Source organism: Homo sapiens, chromosome 1 (assembly GCF_000001405.40).
Source record: "Homo sapiens chromosome 1, GRCh38.p14 Primary Assembly".
In the NCBI taxonomy this organism is placed as follows: Eukaryota; Metazoa; Chordata; class Mammalia; order Primates; family Hominidae; genus Homo; species Homo sapiens.
The window spans coordinates 64,926,575-64,945,181 of NC_000001.11; the positions used below are offsets into that span (position 1 = coordinate 64,926,575).

General features: G+C 40.4%; 1 protein-coding gene across 11 annotated transcripts in view, besides 2 other annotated features; it reads right to left on the reverse strand.

The window, feature by feature from the left end:
• JAK1 (Janus kinase 1) overlaps positions 1-18,607 on the reverse strand; it is a 234,518-nt gene that overhangs the window by 93,346 nt on the left and 122,565 nt on the right. The window lies entirely within an intron of this gene.
• Positions 7,216-7,265: a silencer, noted in NCBI's record as "silent region_958". NCBI's record gives its function as "represses an Ori minimal core promoter by ATAC-STARR-seq in GM12878 lymphoblastoid cells {active_cell/tissue: GM12878}" and the evidence as "EXISTENCE:reporter gene assay evidence [ECO:0000049][PMID:35858748]".
• Positions 7,732-8,026: an enhancer, noted in NCBI's record as "tiled region #2453; HepG2 Activating DNase matched - State 5:Enh, and K562 Activating DNase unmatched - State 5:Enh". NCBI's record gives its function as "activates a minimal TATA promoter and a strong SV40 promoter by Sharpr-MPRA in HepG2 and K562 cells {active_cell/tissue: HepG2 | K562}" and the evidence as "EXISTENCE:reporter gene assay evidence [ECO:0000049][PMID:27701403]".

Below are 18,607 nucleotides of genomic sequence, written 5' to 3' on the forward strand. Positions count from 1 at the left end.
CCACCACCACTAGATATACAGTCCACCTGATGAATGCTTATGACTTGATGTGGCTGCCATTCTATACACATTTTGTTTAATCCACATATTAGTTCCATTTTACTGATGACGAAACTGAGGTCTGGCATGACCCAGCCTTCACTGGCACTACAGCATAGCAGATATAAGCACAGTCTGGAACCAGAACACGTGTGTTTGAATCCCAGCTCTACCACGTGCCAGCTGGGAAATCCTGGGTAAGTTATTTATCCCATCTGTGCCTCAATTTCTTCATCTGTAAAACAATGATCGTAACACATGCTCCGTAGTATTTTGGTCAGCATTAGAAGAGTTAATGTATGTGAAGGCACTCAGCACAGTGTCTGGACATAGCAGGAACTAAACAAGTGCTTGCTACTGTTATCATCATCACTGTTTCCAACCTTGTCTTCCATTATGCCCCAAGTCCATATTTTTATGTCCTCAAATATACCAACTACTTCCCACCTTTGTCCAAGCTGACTCTTCAGCCCTGACTGCTCTCTGCAGGCCAGGTCCTCACCATTCTTTGGGTCTGCTTATGTGCTCACCTCTGATGGGCGTACCCTGACGACCCTATTAAGAAAGAGCTCTGTCTCTCTGGCACGGTCTCCCGTGTCCCCTCCCCCCACTCCCCAGGTCCTATTCATTTTAGCACATCCTTGTTTCTTTTCCTCAGGGCACTTATGACAGCCTAGAATTGTTATGTGTTGATCCATGTATTTGTTTTGTGTCCACATCCTCACTAGAGATGAGGGAAAGAACTGCGTCTGTCTTCCTTTTTTTTCCATCTTCATCCAGCCAAGGGAAATGCTCAATAAATATCTGTTGAATAAGTGGGCAAATGAACGAATAAATGAGGCTCAGAAAGTTTAATAATTTGTCAAATATTACACAGACAATCAACAGAAAAGACAAACTTCAAACCCAGATTTGACTCCAAAGATGGTGCTCTTTGTAGCTTGGTACCCTGTCTCCTTTTACATTATAGGTATTTAAGAAGTAGCTGTTGAATTAATAAATGAATGAACTATAGAATCCTTAAGGTAACAGGTTGCTGATGGTTGCTGCTGCTATGGGGACAGCAGGAAATAAACATCCTGCAAAGTGCCATTCTCTCTATTTGGTCAACGATGAGTATCGATCAACTCAAACGTCTATTAAGCAGCCACAATGAACACATCTGTATAATGCAAAAGAATACAAAGCCCCTGTATTTGGCTGGAAGATAGCAGGTAGAATCAGGACTACAGCATATGGTTGGGCAGGTTGGGCACTGCCAAGAATGCCCAACTGAGGTAAGAAAGTGATGGCTGAAATCCAATCTGCCTTTTACTAGCCAGGCCACACTCTCTGGTGCAGGGCTACCCCACTCAGACAAGATGCTGTTTTCTAATTTTCACAAAGACAATATATAGACTAGCAGCAGCCCTATGGAGGGTCAGTCTTATTTCTTAAGGCTGGGTCTCTCTACCATGGGAGTTTAATGGCACAAAAGGCACTGACTATTCAAAACACAATGCCCCTCCAAACCTGCCAGTGCCCCTGAAACAGCCGCTTGGGGTGAAAGCATTCTATGCCATGAGGTGCTTATGATAATACAAAAACAGGGAGGGGTAGCTGGTTCCTTCACTGCCACCTTTTAACTCAGACTAGTCTATCATATTGGCCTCTAGTACTTGTCAGAGCAGAGAAGCCTGAAAGTTGGGACCTGAATAGATTAAGTTTCCATGCAATAAAAGGTGATGAGAAAGATTCCAGAACAAAGAATACTGCGAGAAAAAGTAGGCTCAGGCTGGGGACCCCAAAATCACGCATTTCCCTTTCTCCCTGAAGCCAGCTCTCACTGCACCTAGTAGGTATACAAGAGTGCATTCATGTGCCTACACAAATATGCACACACAAAACTAAAGAAAGGATGTCACTTGAGCACACAGCTTCCTGCCCCCTCCAGGAGTCCTAACTGCTCAGCAGAGAAAAATAGCTTAGAGGAGCATAAAGAGACCCAAGAACTCTTCCTCTTGGCTTTCCCAGTAACTTCTGGAATTACATTTGGAAAGTCACTTCACCCCCAAGACCTGAATCTCATCATTTATAAAAGGACTGAGGCTGCAATATGTGAAAGATCAGGATTTTCAAGCTATGTTCTGAGCAACCAAAAGGTTCTGAGTGCTATAAAACTCTGCAAAAAAAAAAAAAAAAAACAAAAAAAAAAAACTCTGCAAAAAAAGTATTCAATTTTATTTTTAAGGTAATATATTAATGATTTTAGAGATTATAATAAACTCCCACAGATTCAAATTTTATTGGAAATTTTAGCACACTGATGATGACAAATGTGTTCACATTATCTTCCTGTAGACCTCAGAATAAAGCTGCTCTTGCCAATTCTAAGCTTATATTAGTATCTTGTAAATATGTCACTGATTCTGAAGGAAACTGGAATTATCTTTTTAAAAATTCAGGCCTGTACTTGTCTGGTGCCTTAAAACTGTTCAAGCAAGTATACTGCTATAGCACACCTGCAGTATGTTCAGTTAAATGCCAGGTAAATCTCAGGCACATCTGCTGGCTTATGCTCTTATCACAGGGGAATAGTCAGTTATGCAAAAGCAAATGAATTCATAACAGGCTGCATTGTAATAAAAAGAGTGACCATACATTATCATCTGTCTTGCAGTTTGTAATAAAGAATGAAAGTATTTGTTAAACAGTGTGATTCTCCTTGGAGACCAAAGTTCCCCCTATTCATCTTTCAGGCTTCTGGATCAATTTAATTAAAGAGTATCCTGAAATTGCAAGGTATTAGCAAACTATTCTTATCTGCAATTACTTATCCATGCAAATCAGACTTTTCTATACTGCAAACAAAATTAAATCCAGATGGAACCTGGGTAATGAAACTGGCATTTGACTGGGACTGCCACTCAGAACCCAAGTTAAAATTCAGTGCTCACTACAGCAGCTTCATTGTTCTCTTGACTTTACCATAAGTAAATGGATGATTCTTGTAAGTTATGATACCTACAAGTCTGAACATATAAAATTAATCTCTTGTAAATCCATTTATTTAGGGTAAGTAAATGGATGATTCTTATAAGTTATGATACCTACAAGTCTGAACTTATAAGATTAATCTCTTGCAAAAAGAACAAAGCTGGAGGCATCACACTACCTGACTTCAAACTATACTACAAGGCTACAGTAACCAAAACGGCATGGTACTATTACCAAAACAGACATATAGACAAGTGGAACAGAACAAAGGCCTCAGAAATAACACCACACATCTACAACCATCTGATCTTTGACGAATCTGACCTAAACAAGCAATGGGGAAAGGATTCCCTATTTAATAAATGGTGTTGGGAAAACTGGCTAGCCATATGCAGAAAACTGAAACTGGACACCTTCCTTACACCTTATACAAAAATTAACTCAAGACGGATTAAAGACTTAAACGTTAAGACCTAAAACCATAATCAGGACACAGGCATGGGCAAAGACTTCATGATTATAACACCAAAAGCAATGGCAACAAAAGCCAAAATTGACAAATGGGATCTAATTAAACTAAAGAGCTTCTGCACGGCAAAAGAAACTATCATCAGAGTGAAGAGGCAATCTACAGAATGGGAGAAAAATTTTGCAATCTATCCATCTGACAAAGGGCTAATATCCAGAATCTACAAAAAACTTAAACAAATTTATAAGGAAAAAACAACCCCATCAAACAGCGGGCAAAGGAAATGAACAGACATTTCTCAAAAGAAGACATTTATGTGGCCAACAAACATAGGGGAAAAAAGCTCATCATCACTGTTCATTAGAGAAACGCAAATCAAAACCACGATGAGATACCATCTCATGCCAGTCAGAATGGCGATCATTAAAAAGTCAGGAAACAACAGATGCTGGAAAGGATGTGAGAAATAGGAACACTTTATGCTGTTGGTGGGAGTATAAATTAGTTCAACCATTGTGGAAGACAGTGTGGCAATTCCTCAAGGATCTAGAACTAGAAATACCATTTGACCCAGCAATCCCATTACTGGGTATATACCCAAATGATTATAAATCATTCTACTATAAAGACACATGCACATATATGTTTATTGCAGCACTGTTCACCATAGCAAATACTTGGATCCAACCCAAATGCCCATCAATGATAGACTGGATATAGAAAATGTGGCACATATACACCATGGAATACTATGCAGCCATAAAAAAGGATGAGTTCATGTCTTTTGCAGGGACATGGATGAAGCTGGAAATCATCATTCTCAGCAAACTAACACAGGAACCAAAAACCAAACACCACATGTTCTCACTCATAAGTGGGAGTTGAACAATGAGAACACATGGATGCAGGGAGGGGAACATCACACACCAGGGCCAGTCAGGGGGTGGGGGACTAGGGGTGGGATGGCATTAGGAGAAATACCTAATGTAGATGACAGGTTGATGGGTGCAGCAAACCACCATGGCACGTGTATACCTATGTAACAAACCTGCACGTTCTGCACATGTATCCCAGAACTTAATGTATAATAAAAAAAATAAACTCTTTAGTACACTGAGATTCCACATCGGACTTGATATGAAATAGGGTTCCTTGATTTTCAAAGAGTCAAAACCACCATGCTGGATTCCCTCAAAGTCCTCTTCACGTTCTAATATTCAGAGGAAGCAAATTCTAAGTACACCTGGATTACCTGCTCATCCTTGTTCAACCGCACTCCATGCAGACTACAACTCCCATAAGAAGGGAGGGCCATTCCCATCGAAAGTAAGGTTTCATCTACCATGGGCAGGTGGTAGCTGTCCACGCCGGGTGTCACTCATCCAAGTCCCCACCTCCCCCAGCAACAGGGTGAAAACATTCAGCCCTCCCCAACCATGGCAGTAGGACACCCAGCATGGTGGGTGTCCTACCATGGTGGCACAAGGCTGAGTGGTTGTATCCTAGGCAATTACTACGCTCCAGGGGCATCATCCCTAGGAGCTCAGACCAGCATTCAGAGGCCTCAACCTTTGGGGTAAAGGAGGCAATCCTTTTGTGTACAGGCTACTCCCTCTCTCCTACTCTCCCATCTCTGCCTATCAAAACTCTGTTCTTTAATGGTAAATTGTTACAAAATTACAAACTATCGGGAGGCACTCTGGTAAGGGAATAAAAAGAGCCAAAAAATAGGAACCCATGTGACTCTCAGAAATGTATCCTAAGAATACATAATGTACACACACAGAGATCTAGCTATACAGCTATTAATCCTATTAATGGAAGTGTTGTTCATAACAGCAAAAAACTGCAAGAAACCTAAATGTATTTTTTAAATGGATTTTGGCTCTAAAAAAGGAGGGGGGGGGATATTCAATCAACAAAGTGCCCACAATATCTTTAACAATAATAATACCTACACTTTAGACTACTTACCATATAACTGGATCCTCTGATCAGGTTCTTTACATCTCATTTAACGCTCATACCAACACTGTGAGGTAGACATCATGGCACTTTATAAATAAGAAATCTGGGCCAGGTGTGGTTGCTCACGCCTGTAATCCCAGAACGTTGGGGGGCCGAGGTGGGGGGATCACGAGTTCAGGAGATTGAGACCAGCCTGGCCAACATGGCGAAACCCTGTCTCTACTAAAATTACAAAAATTAGCTGGGTGTGGTGGCACATGCCTGTAATCCCAGCTACTTGGGAGGCTGAGGCAGGAGAATCGCTTGAACCAGGGAGTCGGATGTTGCAGTGAGCCGAGATCGCGCCACTGTACTACAGCCTGGCGACAGAGCGAGACTCTGTCTCAAAAAAATAATTAAATAAATAAATAAGAAATCTGAGATTCATAAAAGCAGTAATTAACCAAAGGTAATCTAGCTAATAAGTGTCGAGGTTGGGTTCAAACCTAACTCACTCACTCACTCTTGCATCCAACAAACGTTTATTAAGCATTTACTAGTGTCAGCATGGTGCTACATCCTGCTTTGTTGCTGGGGCTTTAATTTTCATTTTGAAATAATTTTAGATTTACTCAAGACCTGCAAAGATAGTACACAGAATTCCCATATACTTTCACTCAGCTACTCCTAACACTAACGCTATGGTTTGTTTTTTTTTATTGACAAACTGCAATAATCATCCATTCCACCATCAAATAATTGAGAGGGCACTAGACAGTCCCAGCTGGCACCTGCCTCTGCCTGGGACTGCCCACAATCTCTGTTCCCCACTGACATCTGACTCTGCACTGCCCTCCCAACTCCACCATCCCAAAGGTAAGACAAGGGAATTAAGAAAATTACCACAAATCAAAGGTTTTTTCTCCCAGTTAGAATTAAGCCACTGCTAACGGGAAGTAAAGCCATGGAAAGAATTATACTTTTAAAACAAGTACAGAACCTCCGAGAAATCTCAAATAGAAAAGAACAGTAACAATGAGAAAAAATAATAAATATAATTAAACACTACACCAGTGGTAGCTATACGTGCCAGGCATCATGCCAAATGTTTTATATTCATTGAATCCTGAACATCCCATAAGGTGGGTACCACTGTTATCCCCATTTACAGATGAGCAAAACAAGGTACAAAGAAGTTAGGTTTTACTCGAAGTTCCACAGCTCAAAAACACTTCCCTTTCCAGGGAAGAAAAAAGAACACAAGGCTCCTACCCCCGTTTTGAACTTCTAAGCTATTTTTAACAACAATGGCCACCATCCAGACATCAGATGTGACCAATCTCCAGCTCAGCGAAACTATTCATGAGTGTAGCATTTTTCAGCCCTTGAGTAGTCTCTGCCTAAGTGACGTATCCCTGTTGTACATGTTTCCAAGGGAAGTGACAAAATTTCTGAGGGACTTGCACAACACTGCCAAAAAGCAGGATTCCAAAAGGCCTTTCACGCATGTTTTCACAATGCCCCAATACTACCTGCCTCTCGTCTGCACCATCCCCTCAGCAATCTCTGCCATGGGCTGACGCCTGCTCTTCAACAGAAGTTATTCAAATGACACATCGTATGCCCTTCTCATGCTGTACTACACTGACTGTCTCTACAAAATTGTGGTGCCAGAATTCACTTCAAAGGATCTGCATGTCTCTGACTACATGACAAAGATGTAGCGTATAAAAAGGGAACTGTCTATTTCTGGCACCACAAAATGCAATCTATTTGCCTCACCAAGCACGCCGCTGCTCTAAAGAAAGTTTTTGCTTTCAAAGAATCCTGGGTTTGCCTTTAAATTCACACTGTTTCATACTGAAGTGACTAACTTTGAATCATTCAAAATCGCTGTGGTCCTTAGAATTTTCAGGCACTACGGAATATACTACATAAATATGAGCATTCTCAAGCAATACACACTAAAAGACATACAGCCAATGGCCTAACCCAGGTCCACCTCTGGAATTTGGGAGCTGACAGAAAGTGACCCAGAACCACTAGAAGCACAAAGCAGAAGGAAAGATAAGTGCTGACCAAAATGCAGGAGGGGACAGGGTATCTTAGGAAGCTGGAAAACATGGAGAGATGTAAAGGACCAAAAGCAACTCCTGTTCCTGGTCACCAATTGGGATCAGTGGAAAAGAGTTTCAGTGGAATCCCAGGAGACATCTCTCAAATGACCTCCGGCTCCAGTCCTGGGAAACTTGCTCAACAAATGATGCAATAAATAACACAAAGGCAAAACATATGAAGCTGCTTTTTATTTTTAAGGCTGTAAGAACCTCTTGTCACAGCTCTGAGAAGGGGAGACTGAAGGCTGGAGGCAGCCACACCAAGGAACCAGGCAGTGAAGAGCAGGGTCGTTTCCTAACTGGGAGACGTGGCATCACTGCAAGCAGAGGTTGTCGTGACTCATCAGGATGAATCCACAGAGCAGTAAAGAAAAACAACAGTGAAGGAAGAGCTTGGCAGCCATTACGAAATGAGAGGGGCGAGAAGCTCGGGTTGTGGACCCACAAGAGTGCCCCCTCAACCTTGACTGTTCCCAAGGCTCTGTCTGCCTGCATTCTTTGAAAACCTTCCATCTACTGGACCTACAGAGTTCTGGTTCATCCTCTCAAAGTCCAGGTCAGATGCCTCATCTTTCCGGTGAAGTCCTGTGGACTCCAAACGTAGTCACTCTCTTCTCTGTGCTGCCACAGTACTTTGTTAAACACATTAATTACAACCTTAGCTTACATTGTATTGTAAATGTCACCCACCAGACTATCCTGGGGGCTATGATTATATTTTACTCATTTGTATTTCTCACAGTCAGTGCCTAGAACATAGTAAGTGCTCATCAGATGAATGATGAGGGTCCACTAGTAGGACCCTCCAGAGTTCCTAAGGCCACAGCAGTTTTCAGGAAGATTCATAATCAACTTATCAAACCAATTTACTTGAGGACCAATCTATTTCTGGCTGTGGGGATATGCACCACTACTCTCCCTGCTCCCTCTGAAATAGGAATGAGGAAGCTTCTCCCTTGATTCCATTCTAGCCATGGGAACAAGAACGCAGATGCATCAGACATCCTTGGGGATGACCCTGCCAAACAAATTATATTCCAATCTCACATCCACCAGACCAAAACCTAAACTAGGTCAAAATCATTCATTCATACTGAGAGGGTATTAAAAGAAATATTTCTGACCCTTTCCCTCCTCTACCCATCAGCAGATGAAATGAGAAAGACCAGTCATAACTCTTTTTTTTGTTTGTTTGAGACAGAGTTTCACTCTTGTTGCCCAGGCTAGAGTGCAATGGCGTGATCAGGGCTCACTGCAACCTCCGCCTCCCGGGTTCAAGCGATTCTCCTGCCTCAGCCTCCTGAGTAGCTGGGATTACAGGCGTGTGCCACCACGCCCAGCTAATTTTTGTATTTTTTAGTAGAGATGGGGTTTCGCCATGTTGGTCAGGCTGGTCTCGAACTCTCCTGACCTCGTGATCTGCCTGCCTCGGCCTCCCAAAGTGCTGAGATTACAGGCGTGAGCCACCGCACCCAGCCCATAATTCATCTTTAAACCAACTCTCCAACAACCTGTCCTCTTTCCTCCTACTCAGACTGAATGAGAAGTCTGGTCTTGGCAGTCCCTTGATGTTTATCCAGCCTTTCCTGCTGTGACAGAATACTTGATGTGCTACCACAGAACTGCTTGCAACGCTGACGGGTCATCTCTGATGCTAAGGGAGAAGAAAAGGGAAAGTCCCTGGAGAGCCACCATATTGAGTCTTTACAATTTCATCTAGTGGACTGTGGAGCCATAAATGGTGCACAATAAATCCAGGAATGCTGGAGGGCGAACTGACAGGATCCAGTAGGAACATCTTAGAACAGACCGGTGTGTGTCTCAACACCTAGGACAGCTGCCCCACAAACAGACGGTCCAGGGACACACCCTTGCCCCTCCCCATTTCACAAAGCTCCCATGGGGCCTTGTCTCCCAGCCTCTAGCCTTACTCCAGTGTCAATATGGGATCCGGCAGGAAGAGGCCAATGTGCAATTACTAAATAAAACTCCTTCATTGACTGAGTTGCCTCCTCTCCTTCCAGGCTCAAGATCAAAGATTAAGCAACAGAGGAGAGGTGGAAGTTTATCAGAGAATCAGGATTTCAAGGTTGGAATGGACTCTACAAAACATTCACCCTCCTCCTCCATGGCAATAACTATCCATACTTTCATTATTAGGCCAAATAAGCCTCTACATTTACCCTCAACTCCACAGGCCCATGGATGGACTCTAAGAGTATTTGGTATTTAAGATAAAAATACAAATTTGACACAGTGCACCCTCCAATGCAAGGTAGGAATTGGTGGGCACCTTGAAAGAAGTATCCTTGTTAAACCTCTAAGACTCTTGTATTGTGGAAGAATTAATTCATTCTTGGGGAAATCCAGTTATTTCTCCCATGAAGACAAAGAGAGGTACCTTATGTCACTCACCCATCACCTGTCTAGACACCCAGGACTTTCACAAGTATGACTGGAGAGGTGAGGCCAAACACAAGAGCTGAGAAACAGCACAGCCCTGTGACCAGTAGCCAGGGTGTAAGCCCAGCTCCACCACTTACTAGCTCTGTGATCCTAAAAAGCAGGAAAACACTAGGACCTACCTACCTCATTTGCTTGTAAAAAGATTAAGTTAGTTAATCTACTTAGAACACCATAAGTGCTATATTTCTTCCATAAATGAAGAGGCTAAGCCAACGTTTCTTTGAAACATGGTATCCCACGTTGGTGAGAATTTCCAATGTGACAGCAGAAAACAGTAGGTTGTACCATATGAAACTGCCAATATTTGACCATTTTTATGTACAAAAATGGCAATTTTATATTAATAAATCAAATATATGTGAAAAAGAATACAAAGCAGTGCATTTACAATCATCCTAAATGCCTAAAGCTTAGGCCTTTTACAGAAAATATTTCAAATGACTGTTTAAAAAAAAAAAAAAAAGGATCAACTATTTGTATGGGGCTAATCCTCCCCACCCCCAGTTTGGTCTACAGGACCTCATGTAGATTGAGCAACTTTGGCTATTTGGGTAGCTGATCCACTGCCAAGCTGGCTCCCAGCTACCACCTGTTACTTTGACAACTCTAGCTTCAGGGCTACCAGGACCATTTGCAAAACTTACACCCACAGAAAACTCAAAGTCTCCAGAGGCATAAGCTCCAACCCCCAGAGAGCTCCACAGCATTCTTCTCCTTCTAGTAGTACTTTTGGTTTCCAGGAAAATCATCTCATGCTCGGGCCACAGTCACAGTCCTGACCAGCACCATAGAAATTTCAGCCATTATTCTAGTTGTATGGAGTCATTCAAAATACTAATTCCGAAAGAAGTTTCAAAGGTCCAACGCCGAGCATCTTTTACCTTTGCTAATTTTTCCATAAATTGAAAGCCTTTCTAGAAAGAAAGGAGCGTATCACTGTTAAACTTCAATTATACAACACAGGCCCTCTGTTACAACTTCTTGTCAATCTATAATTATTTCAAAATAAAGTTTCTAAATAGGCATTAGTGGAACACTGATTAGTAACTGAAAACCAAAGCAGACTTAGTCGATCATAGAATGACAAAAAAAAACCTGGAAAATGTTGACCTCATTATTTCAGTTTTTCAGACATATCCTTAAAGCGAGGTCAAACTGATCCATCAACAAGTCAACTGAACATTTGATATTCTACCTTGGAACAAGGAAACCCAACCATCGATCACTCCAACATTGTCTGAGATACACTAAATTACTCTCACTGTAAAAGTTTCTTGAACAGAGAATGTCAAAATCTTCTTTTTTTTTTGAGAGGGAGTCTCACTCTGTCGCCCAGGCTGGAGTGCAGTGGCGCGATCTCGGCTCAGTGCAACATCTGCCTCCCGGGTTCATGCCATTCTCCTGCCTCAGCCTCCCAAGTAGCTATGACTACAGGTGCCCGCCACCACACCCAGCTAATTTTTTGTATTTTTCAGTAGAGACGGGGTTTCACTGTGTTAGCCAGGATGGTCTCGATCTCCTGACCTCGTGATCTGCCCACCTCGGCCTCCCAAAGGAGAATGTCAAAGTCTTTAAGGCTAAGAAAGAATGTAATTTCATGGCTGAAAAAAAAAAGTTTTTTTTAAAAAAAAGTTCAATTATACAAAGATATAAAAAAATACTCTTTCGTAAAGAACAACTTTGATGAAACCTTTTAGATGTACTGTGTGATTTTATGTCTTCAGTCCACTATAATAGAAAGGCTCTTTTCAATGACTGCCCCAGTAATAACAGGATAGTAGCAGAATCTTTCTGGCCTATAAACTAAGCCTAGTTAGGAAACAAGACCCAGAAGCATTTATACTTGTCTGAACTCTTGATTCCATGTTATTACATGAACTAAGTGAAGACCTGAACCAAGATCATCAGCCTTCTATTAAGGCACACAGATGATCTGATTGGCTTGGGCTTAATGGTCATGTTTCAGCTTCATTTTATTGCTCCGCTTCCCTTGACACCAGAACTATTTATCTCCTCTACTTCTCAATACTAAAACCATTTATAAATCCCAAGAACAGTATTCACTGTAAATCAAACTAGTAAGTAAACTCGTTCTCCAACACCAAACCATACACTTTCATGTTTCTCAACTAAAAGTAGAGTTCATTACAAAAGAAACTGAGAAATGCCTCCTCATGAAGTCTCTCTTAATATTTTATGTCTACATAAGGATATGATGTGGGTAGAGGTAGATGGCAGCACCAGTGTCTCAGGAACTGTTTTCTAGTGCCCCCCAAAACAGAATCACGGGTCTCTATCCTCCCCTGGCATTCTTAATGTTATAATTAATAGTTAATAATTAAAATACTTAATTAACTGAACTAAACTGAAGATCCACCTAGCATTTTTTTCTTTTCTTTTCTCTTGAGACAGGGTCTCACTTTGTTGTCCAGGCTGGAGTGCAATGGCATGACCATGGCTCACTGCTGCCTTGAACTCCTGGGCTCAAGCAATCTTTTCATAGGAACTGTTGGAGCAACTGTTTGGAGAACTACTATCTGAAAGACAATAACATATTTTTCCCTAAAGACATTCTTGCCCCCAGGGCACACTTTTCTGGCTGCCATCAACCCTGCTGCCTAGATTCAACGAAATGGGGATGTCAGATGATTCTGTGAGCAACAGATCTAGGCATGAACATATACATATAAGCACAACTCATACCTCTAAGGGTGACCATACAGCTAGGAACAGCAAATGGCAGATTACCATGCATAACACAGGACAAGGAAAGAAGTTCAAACGTCTAATCAGTGCCAACTTCCATACATTCACACAAGTTCACAATAGTTTCACAGTTTGCAGAAGTTTGGAGTCACTAGTTTGCAGTAAGCGGAAAGCATGGCTTACTGGTAAAATGCATGAACTCTGAAGTCAGAAAAGACTTACTCATTTATAAAATAAGGTATTTAATTTATCCAAATATTGGTTTCTTCATCTTTAAACAGGGATAATACCATGTAACACAAAAGAGTTGTTCAAGGATTAAATTAGGTATATACTAGGAGCTGGGCACATAGTAGATACATAATTTATAAGGTCCTAGTCATGCATATAATTCCTATATAAGGCCTAAAAAATCTCACAGAAAACCACATGGTTTCATTCTGCACTCTGAAATCCAGCTGGTATTATGCCACTACTGTATGTGTGCTATATAAGTCAATAAAAGTGGGAACCAGAAACAAAATAAGAGAATAACTACTTAGACTGTGTATCCCCCAACTGGGTGGCTCAATACTATTTCTTTATAAATAAAGACCAGGATGCAAATATACTCCTGTGTTGTAATAGTGCTAAGTTTCATTGTTTTGAAGCACACATAAAATATGAGTTCCCCAAAGTAAATGCTGCTGAATTTCATACAAATATTCACGAACATTACATATTGCCAAGCCTTCTCACTTAGAGCTGTGTATAAAATACAAGTAACTAGATGTCAACAAACCTATAAATCCTATGAGAGCAGGCACTACACACAGGCATACTGATAGCTTCAAGGAGAGAAAACCGGTAAGTTGACAGAAAAACAATAGAAGGCACAACAGGAAGTCCAAAGCTAGTTACTATGGAACAAATACACCGTGTGTGTACATGTGCATGCAAATACACATAACTCAACAGACCTGCAGGGAATCCCTATTGTAAGAGTCATCATTTACAGAAGACCTAGCTTATACCAATTTCAATTTCTTTTTTTTTTTTTTTTGAGATAGTCTCACTCTGTTGCCCAGGCTGGAGTGCAGTGGCACAATCTCCACTCACTGCAACCTCTGCCTCTCAGGTTCAACCGATTCTTTTGCCTCAGCCTCCCGATTAGCTGGGATTACAGGTGTGTGCCACCACACCTGGCTAATTTTTGTATTTTTAGTAGAGATGGAGTTTCACCATGTTGGCCAGGCTGGTCTCCAATTCTGGGGCTCAAGTGATCTGCCCACCTCGGCCTCCCAAACTGCTGGGGTTACAGGCATAAGCCACTGCACCTGGCTCAATTTCAATTTCTTAAAAAATGAAGAAAATGAGGTTAAGACGGGTTTACTGTTCGTAGGCAAGAGTCAGTAGGTGGTGAAATTTAAACCCAGGTCTTTCTACTCCAATTTATGCTATGCTCCATAAACACAGTGCTCAACACAAATTACATTTGTAGCTGAACATGATTAATAAAGAGAAAATAAACTGTATTCAGTCGCTTCAGTTCAAGAACAGAAAAAATATATTTTCGGATTTTTTCATTAAAGTAGTTAAAGTTTTGGCCAGGCGCAGTCAGTCACTCACGCTTGTAATCTCAGCATTTTGGGAGGCTGAGATGGGTGGACAACCTGAGGTCAGGAGTTCAAGACACACCTGAGCAACATGGCAAAACCCTGTCTCTACTAAAAATACAAAATTAGCCAGGCGTGGTGGCGCATACCTGTAATCCCAGCTACTTGGAAGGCTGAGGCAGGAGAATCACCTGAACATGCAAGGCAGGGGTTGCAGTGAGCCAAAGATCGTGCCACTGCACTCCAGCCTGGGCTATGGACTCCAACTCAAAAATAATAATAATAAAAATAAAATAAAGTAGTTGAAGTTTTGTGGTTATTATAAGAATAAATTCTCACCATCTAGAAAATGGTTAACCCAAAATGATTAATCCCTAATGGTTCAAAAGGGCCAAGAATTTATTGTAACTTGCATCCACATCTGGGAAAAAAAAAATTCATTCCTTAACTCTAGAGAAACACTTTTAAATATAAAATGTGACAACATGACTACAAATTCTTTCAGTTGGGGCTTTCACTGGGACTTATCCAGTTATTATTCTGATAATTATCAGAAATGAAAAATAAAACAAAGATGATTTATCTTGACCAATCAAATATTTTAGGGACCAAAAAAAATAAGCAAAAGAAGTCAACAATTATTTCAAATTTCCCATGGTTAGAATAAAAAAACTGGCCTCCTTTCAGAGTCCTCTGCTCTATCAGAGAAACTGGGGATGGAAAGGGAACCTCAGAGCTGTGATGTTACATTCAAACTCCCACAAACGGCCTACATTTTGAAAATGAAGAAACCAAAGCTCAGCACATGACATGACTAAACCTGGGTCTCAAAGTCAACTACTATCAGATTTTCAACATGAATCCAGGTACTTGACTCTCTAAGTTTAGTGGAAATGTCTGAATCTAAAGACCAAAGGAAAAGCCTGAGGTCAGGCCAGTGTCCCCTGGGACTTTCCAGTGTTCTCTAGGAGAAGCAGGGAAGATTAGGCAGGTGTGGTTTACACTACAGATCCCCAGAGAAAGCCCTAGAGAAAGCCCTACCGACTGGAGCCCAGTCGGCCTGGAGCGACTGTGTCAGCTTGGTTGTTCCTGACAAATACAAGAACGATCCAGAATTATATAAAAATCCAAAGAGAGAGAAACTACTCCTGGATGAACATAATAACAATATGCAAAGATAAATTACCAAATTAGAGGAAAAGATGATGTCTTATGAGAAACATTTACATTTGAATGATGAAATTCGATATATCTTGGATGGAAGTAGGTATTTTGACATAAAAGATATAGAGGACACATGGATCTGAATTGCCAGGGAGAAAAAGATATACATATACTTCGTGTGGGAATTTATCATCATTTCACTCTGGATGAAAAGTACTATGCAGAGACAATCTGGCCCTTTGCTAGATAACCGGTATGAACCACTTTGATACTCAAGGACAATACATGACACTTTTGGCACAGGCAGCATAGTGGGGCTCTCTAAAGGACTAATACACTATTTGTAAAGGTAATAAACATGATAACTGATCAGAAAATCATTTTATTTTTGTTTTTATATCGCAGACTTGATGCTAGGTTATCTTTCCTTTGCAAGATTATTTCATCAGAATATTTTTAAAGGAACAATAAAACTGATCTTACATGGAAAAAACTGAAAATGTGTACAAATCTCTAATTAAATCAAGAGTAGTGGTCTGGCATCCCTATGTTAGTTCAAGTATTCAACATTAACTCAAATGTAACAATTTAGCATGTTCTATCTGGACAATATTCTTAGACTTCAAGCCAAACATCAGCAAATGCCATGCCTGCCTTAGCAAAAGGTGTAATCGTAGATAACATAATTAACCAAATATAAGATACTTTTTTCTCCTAAAATTATATTTTAAGGTGGGAAGTAGAACGAGGGAAGAACCTCTCATATTACAGGGCACACTCTCAGTTGCTTACACCACTTTCCTGTTCTAAATAAAGTAACTGTCTTAATTTTTTTAAAAAAAGAAAAAGGCCAAATGAATTGCGTCATGTGAAAAGTACAGCATTACATTTGCTGTCTATATTTAATCATTAAGGAAATTAAATACTATATTTAATCCATGTCAAGATAAATAATTAAAACAGGCCCATTTTTATTATTTACAATTAGGCCCTATTTGGCTAATGGGAAATAACTCAAAAGTCAGAGAAGTTATTTCTTTAGTTTTCCTAATTCTTCCAAAAGACAATAACTAAACTTTATTATATCAAATTTTGACTATGGTTATAGTTCCTCAGGAATACCTGGGCTCTCCTAATTAGTAGCACTATAAAGATTACTTCCCATATAATGGTTCAGAATTGATACCTATTACCTCATCAGATGACCATAACACCCTGATTGGTGGTCAGGTGTGAATCCCCAGAAGAAACCAAGTCTAAGAAGAGGTTAGACCACCTCTTCAATGTCTCACTGGCATCAACTGCCTGAAAACAGTCCAGGGATAGGACCTTGTGACTCTAATGCCCTTTTTATAGAGTTTTAGTGTAAATTTTCGAATGTGTTAAAAAACAAAAAAGCAATTTGTAAAAACATGGATTTCAAGTTAGTGGGGAGATGATGATTTTTTGTGGTAGGACAACTGGATAGTCAGAGAAAATAATAAAATTAGAATCCCTCTTACATCATAGACTAAAATAAACATCCTATCATTTCAAATGACAAATATACCAAATATTAAGTCTAAGAGTTAAATATTTGTAGAATTAGAGGCATCAAAAGGTCTCTCAAACATGACACCAAAAGCAGAAGCCTTTATAAAGAAATGAGTGATTGATGTGAGTTCATGAAAATATAAAACTTCTATAACAAAAGGTTCTTAATATATAAGTAAACTTGAGGAAAAATATTTGTACCATATGTGACAGAAAACTAATATCCTTAACATATGTAGCTTTAATAAATAAAAAAAAAAAAGACAAACACGCCAGTAATAAAATGAGCAAAGGGCTTGACTAGGCAATCCACATCAAAAAAATGAGTTCTCAAACTTGAAAAAAAAAAGTTTAGGCCAGGCGCAGTGGCTCACGCCTGTAATCCCAGCACTTTGGGAGGCCGAGGTAGGCGGATCACGAGGTCAGGAGATCAAGACCATGCTGGCTAACACAGTGAAATCCCGTCTCTACTAAAAGTACAAAAAATTAGCCGGGTGTGGTGGCAGGTGCCTGTAGTCCCAGCTACTTGGGAGGCTGAGGCAGGAGAATGGCATGAACCCAGGAGGCGGAGCTTGCAGTGAGCCGAGATCGCACCATTGCACTCCAGCCTGGGCAACAGTGCAAGACTCTGTCTCAAAAAAAAAAAAAAAAAAAAAAGTTTAAATGTACCAGTAATTAAATATCTACAGAGTAAAAGATAGATTTATCACTTTTTACTAATAAATTGGAAATTTTTAAAAAATTATTATATCCACAAATTGAGTATGATGACAGTGGTACTCTCATTTAGGAATATAAATAATATGTCACTTTTGGAGAGCAATGTGTACATGTCTTTTGACCTAGAAGTTCTAATTCCTGTATGTTATTATTGTTTGCTAATTCTAGAAATGTATTCTAAGCAAACAATAATAACATACAAGATTTAGCCAGAAGGATTTTCATCGTAGGGTTGTTGACTAACAAGACAAACATAAATGTTCATCCAGGAACACAGAATCACGGTGAAGCCACCCAATAGAAATCTACACAAAACATGTGCATGTGTTGGGGGCAGGGGTATATCACTACTGAAAGATGTTACAATAGTCATGATACACTAGCAAATGGAAAAAAAGGTTATGAAACATTATGCAGTATATAACCACCATTTATGTTGGGGATACACACACGATTGAGAGGATATTCGTGAAAATATTAACAAAGGTTGTGAGAGTCCAAGTGATTTTTGTCTTTTCTCTGGATTCTAAGTCTTCAATAAATAGGAATAACTTTTGTAAAAAGTTATGAAATTAAAAAAACAGAACAAAAACTTCCAAGGAAGGGAGGCAGCAGCCAATACTGCTTTAATGCACAGAGCAACTGATTCTCCCCCGAGAAGCACTTGGCACCTTGGGCTCACAACACACTCAGCCATTCCATCCTCAGGTCCTGAGACGGGAACAGGAGCACATCGGGATGGGCAGAACCCCTAGTCGCATATCACACTACAATCTCAAACCCTGGCACCTGCTTGGAAAGCACTCCAACAGTCCACTAGCCCTTACGAAACACAAGAAGGAATCGCCTGCACTTGCCAGTTCTCTCCATGTTAA